The sequence below is a fragment of the Homo sapiens genome, chromosome 1 (genome assembly GCF_000001405.40).
Source record: "Homo sapiens chromosome 1, GRCh38.p14 Primary Assembly".
Taxonomy (NCBI): domain Eukaryota; kingdom Metazoa; phylum Chordata; class Mammalia; order Primates; family Hominidae; genus Homo; species Homo sapiens.
In genome coordinates this window covers 113,196,018-113,206,883 of record NC_000001.11, presented here as the reverse complement: position 1 = coordinate 113,206,883, position 10,866 = coordinate 113,196,018, and the positions used below count along the sequence as shown (strand labels likewise).

At 42.2% G+C, this 10,866-nt stretch overlaps 1 long non-coding RNA gene and 1 pseudogene across 1 annotated transcript, besides 1 other annotated feature; one reads left to right on the top strand and one right to left on the bottom strand.

Annotated features, from left to right (window-relative positions):
* The first annotated feature begins 630 nt into the window (after positions 1 to 630).
* On the top strand, positions 631 to 10,103 carry LOC643441 (uncharacterized). Its single transcript, NR_038846.1, has 3 exons — positions 631 to 822; positions 5,042 to 5,111; positions 8,194 to 10,103. It is a non-coding gene; the product is annotated as an uncharacterized LOC643441 (long non-coding RNA).
* On the bottom strand, positions 7,593 to 8,077 carry RPS15P1 (ribosomal protein S15 pseudogene 1; annotated as a pseudogene).
* Positions 7,862 to 8,367: an enhancer, noted in NCBI's record as "H3K27ac-H3K4me1 hESC enhancer chr1:113741139-113741644 (GRCh37/hg19 assembly coordinates)". NCBI's record gives its function as "activates a minimal SCP1, AML or CMV promoter by ChIP-STARR-seq in naive H9 embryonic stem cells {active_cell/tissue: H9 hESC(naive)}" and the evidence as "EXISTENCE:reporter gene assay evidence [ECO:0000049][PMID:30033119]".
* Positions 10,104 to 10,866: the final 763 nt, after the last annotated feature.

The following is a 10,866-nucleotide window of genomic DNA, read 5'->3' as shown; positions in this document are numbered from 1 at the left end:
CCCTCTCCTCACCCCCACCACCTTGGAAGCACTGGGACGCAGCAATGTTGAGAGGATGGGATTCTGTGCCACTGAGAGATGGCTCGCAGGTAACGTGGGCATGTCTCTTCCTTACATCCGTAAAGAGGCAAAATAAAAAATAACATAGCAGCACCAAATAACCTATCTTCCTGACCAGGGCCCTCCTACATTCTGCTGGCACAAGTGAATTCCCAGCTCCTGAACCCACGGACTCTCTCTCCTCCTTGTTGGTTGAGCAATGTCTGTATTTACTAAACAGGCCCAGTGAAGCAGTACATTCCTTCCAGACCCAGCACAGCCTCAGGCACAAAAGAGGTCCTTGATAAATGTTTGTTGAGGTCTTTTCCCAGCAGATGAAAGTAAATACTTTGGGAAGAATTTGGAAGAAAAGTGACCTGGCCTCCCTGTTGGTAGTTTTTCCTTTAGCTGGTGAAAGCTCCTTAAAGGGCCTGGATGGGCTGTTCCAGAAGACACTTACAAATGTAAACAGAGACAAATGCCCACAGCCCATGCACACCTGTTTCTCCCTGTTAATACTTAACAGTTAGTAGCTGTTAAGTATTTGATTATTCCTTTCCTACAAAAAAGCATTTCAAACCCAAAGGGAATATGGCTCATTTATTTGCTGAGTGGGACTGGAGGCCCATAGCCGCAGAAGATCCTGGCCCCACAGCAGCAGAGAGCAAGCTCAGAGTGCTGTCAGGTCTCTCCTGCTGCCTCTCGCCATGATGATGTAGTGGAAAAATGGTCAACAAAGCTATTTCCTACTGTGTGCTAAATGCCCATCATGGGAAGTCCCAGGTAAGTCCAGAAAAATATTTATATTGTGTTGTTATGGCTGAATTGTGTCTCCAAATTCATATATTGAAGTCCTAAACCCCAGTACCTCAGAATGTGACTGAACAGGCATACCTTGGGAATATTGTTGGTTGAGTTTCAGCCACTGAAATAAAACAAATATCACAATAAAGCCAGTCACACACATTTTTTTTTTGGTTTTGCAGTGCATATAAAGGTTATGTTTATACTATGCTGTAGTTTACTATGTGTGCAACAGCATTATGTCTAGAAAAAAATGAGCATACCTTAATTAAAAGATGCTTTATTACTAAAAAGTGCTAATGATCATCTGAGCTGTCAGGGAGTTGTAATTTTTTTGCTTGTGGAGGATCTTGCCATAATATTGATGACTGCTGACTGATCACAGTCGTAGTTGCTGAAAGCTGGGGTGGCTGTAGCAATTTCTTAAAATAAGACATGAAGTTTGTCTCATTGATTGACTCTTCCTTTCACGAAAGTTTTCTCTGTAGCATGAGATACTGTTTGATACCATTTTATTTTATTTTATTTTATTTTATTTTATTTTTTGGAGATGGAGTCTCACTCTGTCACCCAGGTTGGAGTGCAATGGCACAATCTCAGCTCACTGCAACCTCCACTTCCCAGGTTCAAGTGATTCTCCTTCCTCAGCCTCCGGAGTAGCTGGGACTACAGGCACATGCCAGCACACCCAGCTAGTTTTTGTATTTTTAGTAGAGACAGGGTTTTGCTGTGTTGACCAGGCTGGTCTTGATCTCCTGACCTTGTGATCTGCCCAGCTCGGCCTCCCAAAGTGCTTGGATTACAGGCATGAGCCACCATGCCCAGCTTTGATACCATTTTAACCAGAATGTCTTTCAAAATTGGTCTCAATTGAAAGAAATTGAAGAAGACACCAAAAAATGGAAAAATATTCCACGTTCATGGATTGGAAGACTAAATCTTGTTAAAATGTCCATACTACCCCAAAAAATCTACAGATTCAATGCAATTCCTACAAAAATACCAATGGCATTCTTTACAGAAATAGAAGAAACAATCCTAAATATATTGAACCACAAAATACCCAGAATAGCCAAAGCTATCCTAAGCAAAAAGAATAAAACTGAAGGAATCACATTACCTGACTTCAAATTATACTACAGAGCTATAGTAACCAAAACAGCAAGGTACTGGCATAAAAACAGACACATAGACCAATGGAACAGAATAGAGAACCCAGAAACAAATCCACACACCTACAGTGAACTCATTTTTGACAAGATGCCAAGAACATATACTGGGGAAAAGACAGGCTTTTCCATAAATGATACTGCGAAAACTAGATATCCATATGCAGAGGAATGAAACTAGACCCCTATCTCTCACCATATCCACAAATCAAATCAAAATGGATTAAAGATTTAAATTTAAGACCTCAAACTATGAAACTACTATAGGAAAACATTGGGGAAAATCTCCAGGGTATTGGTCTGCGGAAAAATTCCTTGAGCAATATCCCACAAACACAGGCAACCAAAGCAAAAATGGACAAATAGGACCACATCAAGTTAAAAAGCTTCTGCAGAGAAAATACAGTCAGCAAAGTGAAGAGACAACCCACAGAATGGGAGAAAATATTTGCAAACTACCCATCCCACAAGGGATTAATAACCAGAATACATAAGGAGCTCAAACAACTCTATAGGGGAAAAAAAATTTAATAATCCAATAAAAAATGAGCAAAAGATCTCAATAGACATTTCTCAAAAGAAGACATACAAATGGCAAACAGGTATATGAAAAGGTGCTCAGCATCACTGAGTATCAGAGAAATGCAAATCAAAACTACAATGAGATATACTCTCACCCCAGTTAAAATGGTTTATATCCAAAAGAAGGCAATAACAAATGCTGGCAAGGACATGGAGAAAAGGGAACCCCATATGCTGTTGGTGGGAATGTAAGTTAGTACAACCACCATGGAGAACAGTTTGGAGGTTCCTGAAAAAACTAAAAATTTAGCTGCCGTATGATCCAACAATCCTACTGAAAGTAAACCCAAAAGAAAGGAAATCAGTTCATCAAAGAGATATCTGCACTCCTATGTTTGTTGCAGCACTGTTTATAATAGCTAAGATTTAGAAGCAACCTAAGTGTCCATCAACAGATGAATGAATAAAGAAAATGTGGGGCTAGGCACAGTGGCTCACGCCTGTAATCCCAGCACTTTGGGAGGCCGAGGCTGGTGGATCACGAGGTCAGGAGTTCAAGAACAGCCTGGGCAAGATAGTGAAACCCCGTCAGTACTAAAAATACAAAAAAATTAGCCAGGCATGGTGACAGATGCCTGTAATTCCAGCTACTTGGAAGGCTGAGGCAGAGAATTACTTGAACCCGGGAGGCGGAGGTTTCAGTGAGCTGAGATTGTGCCACTGCACCCCAGGCTGGGCGACAGAGAAAGACTCTGTCTCAAAAAAATAAATAAATAAATAATAAATGTCATACATACACATATAGAGTACTATTCAGCCATAAAAGAAAAGAGTGAGATCCAGTCATTTGCAATAATATGGATAGAACTGGAGATTATTATGTTAAGTGAAATCAGCCAGGCACAGAAAGACAAACTTTGTATGTTCTCACTTATTTGTGGGGTCTAAAAATCAAAACAATTGAACTCATGGACACAGAGTAGAAGGATGGTTACCAGCTGGGAAGGGTATTAGGAAACATGGGGGGAGGTGTGGATGGTTGATAAGCATTTAATGTAAAAAAACAGAATGAGTAAGACCTACTGTTTTATAGCACCATAGGATGAGTATAGTCAATAATAACTTAATTGTACATTTTTATTTTTATTTTTTATTTTTTTGAGACAGAGTTTCACTCTTGTTGCCCAGGCTGGAGTGCAGTGGTGCAATCTTGGCTCACTGCAACCTCCGCCTCCCGGGTTCAAGTGATTCTCCTGCCTCAGCCTCCCAAGTAGCTGGGATTACAGGCATGCACCACCATGCCCAGCTAATTTTGTATTTTTAGTAAAGACGGGGTTTCTCCATGTTGGTCAGGCTGGTCTTGAACCCCTGACCTCAGGTGATCCGCCCGCCTCAGCCTCCCAAAGTGCTGGGATTACAGGTGTGAACCACTGTGCCTGGCCGAATAGTACATTTTTAAATAATGTAAAGAGTGTAATTGGATTGTTTTTATAACTCAAAGGATAAATTCTTGAGCGGATGTGTTAGGAATAAGGCTCAAAATCCTAAGGAAATTGAACACTCAAACAAAGGATTCTTAGCGAAGCAATTTTACTTCTGTGCAGAGGGATGCCTCCTTGGCCAGTCGCCATGAGAGCACACCTGAACAAAGGGGCATGAGAGCCTTTATTCCTGACGCAAGTCCTGCCCCTGTACCCTTTCCTCATTGGCCGGGGTCAGGTGGTACAATCTAAACTAATCCGGTTGGCTAAACATATGATTTTTTTAGATAGGGTGGGCACATAAAATAAAGTGGAGAGGAAGGGGAAAGGGTGTCTGTAATGAGCTAGAAAGTCCTCTTTCCAAATAAGGAAAGGAATGTGAGCTGGTACTCATAACGCTTGGTACTGTGGCGTGCCTGCGCACCTAACAAAGGCAAAACGGAAAAAAAGGAGAAAAAAGGAGAAAAAAAGAGGGTGGGTAACTATGAATTAAAGAATAAAAGATTGATCAGATTATTTGAAGAGAAACCTCATCATATACCACAGATGGAAAAAAAAATTGGACACAGTCCTCTCAAACCCTGTCACTGCTTTAGGCTTCTGTAATATTCTAAAACCTTTGTGGTCATTTTAACAATGGTCACAGCATCTTCACCAGGAGTGGATTTCATCTAAAAAAAAAAAAAAAAAACAAAACAAACAAACAAAAAAACACTTTCTTGGCTCATCCATGATAAGCAATTCCTTATCCATTCAAGTTTTATCATAAAATTGCAGCAATTCAAAATGTCAAACTGAGGCAAAATTAGTGTAAGTAGAGAGTTTATTTGGGTCAAGTTTGAGGATTGCAACATAGGAGCATAGAATCAAATTGCCCTGAACATATGCTCTAATTAGCAGCAGGTATAAGTGGGTTTTTAAAAGAAAAAAGAAGAGCAAGTTCTGAAGGTGTTTACCAAGAATTTATATTAAAATAACATAAGCTATTCATTGGCTATACATTGTCCTTTGTATCACAAATTCCAGGAACAAGAAGATCATGGGTGAGGCAGCTGCTCAGAAACAAATGTCTTTCAACAATTACCCCCAGGCATGGGTAGGTATAAGTCTTTCTGGTCTGAGCTGTTTTTCTTTTCTCAAGTTACATCTTCAGGTTCCACTTCTAATTCTAGTTTTCTTGCTATTTCTACCATATCTGCAATTACTTCCTCCACTGAAGTCTTAAGCTCCTTGTCAACCATGAGGGTTGGAATCAACTTCTTCCAAACTCCTGCTAATGTTGATATTTTGACCTCCTCCCATGAATCACAGATGTTCTTAGTAACATCTAGAATGGTGAATCCTTTTCAGAAGATTTTCAATTTTACTTTGCCCAGGTCCATCAGAGGAATCACTATCTGTGGCAGCTATAGCCTTACAAAATGTATTTCTTAAATTACCAGACTTGAAAGTCAAAATTACTCCTTGATCAATGGGCTACAGAATGGATGTTGTGTTAGCAGACATAAACACATTAATCTCCTTGTACATCTCTATCAGAGATCTTGGGTGACAAAATACATTGTCAATGAACAGTAATATTTGGAAAGAAATCTTTTTTTCTGAGCAGCAGGTCGCAACAGTGGGCTTAAAATACAATTGACCCTTGAACAACACAGGTTTGAACTATGCAGGTCCACTTATCCATGGATTTCTGCTCAAGGAGAGGGAGAGATTGGGGAACTGCCAATCAGTGGAGCAATCAGAACACACAAATTCATCAATTAAGTTTGCTGTTTTATATAGGTACAGTCCATGGCACCCCAAAACAATCATAATAGTAACATCGAGTATCACTTATCACAGATTATCATAACAGAAAAAATAATGAACAAGTCTGAAATATTATGAGAATTACCAAAATGTGACACAAAGCCATGAAGTGAGCACATGTATTTGGAAAAATGATGCCAATAGACTTGCTCAATGCTGGGTTGCCACAAACCCTCAATTTGTGAAAAAAGCAGTTTCTGTGAAGCATAATAAAGCCAAGTACAATAAAACAGATAAAATATGTCTGTATTTGGAGATAGGGTCTTCTAAGAGGTAATGAAGTTAAAATGAGGTCATTTGGGTGGGCCCTAATTCCATATGACTGGTGTCCTTATAGGAAGAGGAGACTAGGACACGGACACACATCGAGAAAGATCATGGGAAGACACAGAGAGAAGGCAGCCGTCTGTAAGCCAAGGAGAGAGGCCTCACAAGAAACCAACCCTGCTGACACCTTAATCTCAGGCTTCTGGACTCACGAATTGTGAAAAAAAAAAAATTAATTTCTGTTGTTTAAACCACACAGTCTGTGGAATTTTATTATGGCAACCCTAAAAACTAATACATGTGCTTTACAATTTACAAAGCTTTTTCTCATAAACTCGTTTAAATGTCAAAACAATCCAGTTGCGCAGAGTATTATCCCCATTTTACTGAGGAAACAGACTCAGAAACTAATAGCCTAACGTCCCAGTGTTCATGCGTGGCAGATTTTGGCTTGGATCCAGACTTTCTGACTCCAGATCCCAGGTTCTTTCAAATGAACTCTGTTTCCTTTTTGCAAAGTGCTCAGCACCATCGTTTTCATGTTTTTCTGTCCATCAGCCATTTACAGGCAGGCTACAATCTGTTCCCTTAGTCTGGAGAGTGGCTAAGTGATGTGCTTAGGCTTACACAATGAGTTGGTGGCAGGAATGGTATTAAAGTGGCTCCTGAAATTCTGGGTCATTTTAAAGTGATGATTTCTTAATTTTCCTGTTCACTCAGCCAAATTCAAAGAGTCAAGGATTTTTGAGTAGCTTTGTTCCTGGTGCAGAACAGCCCCACCTCTAATGTCTACTTCAGGTGAGCCTGCCGCAGGTGATCCAGGAATTCAAACGCTGAGCACCTGAAGAATCTAAGTTATTTACAGGCCTCACTGCAGGGTTTGGCCCTTAAGGAGCTGTTTTGGGCCCTTAAGGAGCTGCTTTTGGCCCTTAAGGAGCTGCTTTTAACTGTCACCACCTACTGGGAGGATAATTGACCAGGGAACTGAGTTCGTCTGTGGTTTGCTTTCAACTTAAAATAGTCATATCTTTTCCTGAGAATATTGATTGAAAAGTTGATATCAAAATAAGCAAAGGAGCTACACTAGCAAATTTCAGTGAATGAGGCTTTTTCCTCTTTGGGGGAAGGTGAAAGTGCATGATAGGTTAGTGAGCAAGATTTTAAAATGATTTTCTTATTTAGTGCACAAACAGCAGGAAAAGATACCAGAATACATGAAAGGGGAAATTGTACCCACCATCCTCCCACCCCATTTTTTCTCTTTTTTGGTGTGTTTTTCTTTATCCAGATATACATATAGTTTTTACCACTGCACTCATGGCAGAGATGAGATTTTATATTTTCACTGAACATCATAATATAACCATATTTCCAAGTCACCACATAATCTTCATGATTTTTATATATATATATATATATATATATATATATATATATCTCCTCATGATTATATATATCCTCATGATTTTATATATATATATATATAATTTTTTTTTTTGAGACATGTGTGCCTTTATTAGCTGAGCCACTGCTTGAGGGGGATGAAGCAGGAGGAGTGGGTGGCCCTGAAGCCGGCTGTGCTTCACGGGCTTGTAGGTGATGGAGAACTCGCCCAGGTAGTGGCTGATCATCTCCGGCTTGACCTCCACCTGGTTGAAGGTCTTGCCGTTGTAGACGCCCACCATGCTGCCCACCATCTCGGGCACGATGATCATGTCCCGCAGGTGAGTCTTCACCACTTCCGGCTTCTCCATGGGCGGCACCGCCGTCTTGGCCTTGCGCAGGCGCTTCAGCAGAGAGTGCTGCTTCCGCCGCAGGCCCCAGTTCAGCCGGCACCACTGGTGCGCACTGTACAGCTGTATCAGCTGCTCGTAGGACATGTCCAGCAGCTAGCTGCTCGAGGTCCACGCCGCAGCAGGTGAACTTGCGGAAGGTCCGCTTCTTCTTCTGCTCTACCTCTGCCATCTTGCTGGATCCTCAGAAAAATGATTTATATTTTTTAATGGCCACATAATATTACTTGAAATGATGCAACCATCGTTTGTGCAACCAATCCCTTTTCCTTAGTCATTTAGGTTGTTTCCAATTTTTCGCTTCAGGTGATACATCCTCTTCGCAGACAGCAGAAAAACATCAGATTTGTGATTTAATTGGGAGTTTTCTGGGATCGAACAGTGGCTTCGTTTACAGGTGGGTTGCCGAGCGGCCATGGTAACTGATGGAGCAGTCACTATGGCAGTCAGTAGGGCTGAGTGGGAAGGGTGCCCTGGGAGCCTGGAAGCGTGGGAACCAGCAGGGCCGCAGTCGTCCATTTCCCACCCAGTCTTTCCTGTCTCTCGGGGATCCCTGGCAGTTGCTCAGCTGATGCTGAATTGAGAAGCAGCCTGTGAACATGAAGGGTATATGGCAGAGGATCCCAATTTGGCTTCTGCAAGAAGTAGAACCAACAATGAGCTACCTGGGGAGGCCCTGTGCCTCCGACTCTTGCTACTCCTTGGAGCCTCGGGTCTCCGAGAATAAACACCCAGTATACTCTAGGGACCTAACCGCTAATCCCAGGAGCCCGAGCTAAAGAGAAATAGTGTGTTTTGCTTGTTTCATCAAGCTGAAGTCTGGCTCACCTGATCCTGGCTTATTTTTTGCTTCTCTGCAACTTCTGCCTGAGGGGACAGGCAGTCCCAGCGTATACACAGCCTGGGCACAGCCCTCCAGGTCCTGCTGGGGCCAGAAATTCCTTCTGGCTTTACCACTTCTCATCCTGGTGCTTATTGCCTGAGCCCTTTGGGAAAGGCACCCTGTAGATGAGAATTGCTGACAGTTTGGGGGAGTGAAAACGTGCAGGAAGGCAGAGGATGTTCCCGTTGCGTTTAAGATCAGCTGTATTTGGAGAGAATTCAAAATGCAAGCGTACTTATACAGTCATTGGAGGTCAAGTTAATTTATTGCCTCCTGGTTACAGCATCAGTCCCGCCCCTTAGAACGAGCTGAATTTTGGAGTCTGGTGGCCAGGCAGAATCCTATGGAACCTTCTCCAGCATCTTCTTCATGGTCGATCTCAAGGTCACTCAGGGCTTGTCTTGACTAGTAATAATAGAAGAAGCCAGCACTTTTAGAGTCTCTCTTGCTTAGTACCCTATGAAATGCTTTACATACAATATCTCAATCCTCACAAGAACCCTATAAAGAAAGGATTATTGCTGCCTCCATTCTATAAATGAAAAAACTAAGATTCAGAAAGGTCAAGTAACAAACCCCAAGTCACAGAGCTGGTAAGTGGCACGAAAAAAAACTCAGATTCGGGCAGGCTTGCATGTACACTCTCCCTGTGAGGGATACTGCCTCCTGCTAGCCTAGCCACAACCAAAGGAAAGTAATAATAGCTCAACCCTTCATCAGTGCCAGGCACTTTGCTAAGGTGTTTGCTTGCGTTCTTCTAACTCTTGAATGAGGAAACTGAGAATCAGAGAGATTAATTCCTTTCCCCAAAGTCACACAGCTAGTATGACAGAAACTATTTTCCTCTAAAATCTAATTTCTCCTTATTGTACAGTAGTAGACCCTCATTTTTAGCTGAGCATGTGGCCTTCTAGAGTTATGACTACATTCTCCAGACTCTGTTGAAGCTAGGTGTCCATGTGACTAAATTGTGGGCAATAGGATATAAGCAAAAGCGGTATGTGCAACTTCCTGGAACTCTCAGCCTTCTCTCCGCTGCTGAAATGCAGACGTGACAGCTTGAGCCAGAGGGTGCCAGCCAGTGCCATGATGTGACCAAGGCCATCAACAGCAGAGCCGCAAGGGAGCAGGAGCCTTGGTCCCTGAGGACATGCTGGAGCTAACTTGGGAATCCTGAGGTGGCCACCTCCAAAATGTTACATGAAAGAGAAAAGTAAACATCTAACTTGCTTAAGCTGCTATTGTTTTGGGGTTTGTCATTTACAGCCAAACCTAATCCTCATTAAAATAGTGGTGGAACTGGAATTTGAACCAGTTTACTCCCAAGACCAAACTTAACCTCTTTGACATATTATTTCTACTGTAAAACTCTACGCCCACACCAGTTCATCTTTAAAAAAAAAAAAAAATTTATTTTCTCACATTTCTGGAGGTTAGATCCAATATCAGTGCGCCACCAGGGTTGGTTTCTGATGAGGTCTCTCCTTCCTCATGGTGGGTGGCTGCCTTCTGGCTGTGTCTTCATATGGCCTCTTGGCTATTCTTGTGTGGAGAGGTTCCCTGGTGTCTCGTCCTCTTCTCATGAGGACAACAGTCCTGTGGGATAAGGCCTTGCCCTTATGACCTCACTTAACCCTATTACTTTCTTATAGACCTTATGTTTACTGGTTTATTATAAAGGATACAGATGAAGAGACACATAGAGCGTGGTTTGGGGCTAGGAGTGTGGAGCTTCTGTGTCCTCTCTGGATGCACCACCCTCCATGTGTTCAGCTATCTGGAAGCTCCTGGTTCATCTTATTACCAGTGTCTTCCATTCCCTTCCTTTGAGGAGTCAGTCAATATGTACCAAGTGCCAGGCTCTGTGCTAGGGAATAAACCAAAAATATAAATATGAATGAGGCTTGGTTAGTGCCCTCGAGGAGCTGGCAGTCCATCTTGGAAGACAGATGGCTAAGCTAATAAATGAAAGACAATGCAGTGAGTCGTGTAATAAAGACATGGGCCCAATGTTGTGGGAGCCCAGAGGAGTGGCTCACTGCCCCCGGGGTCTGGGAAGGTTTTGCCGAGAGTGCAGCAGACAAGGTGGACGTGCT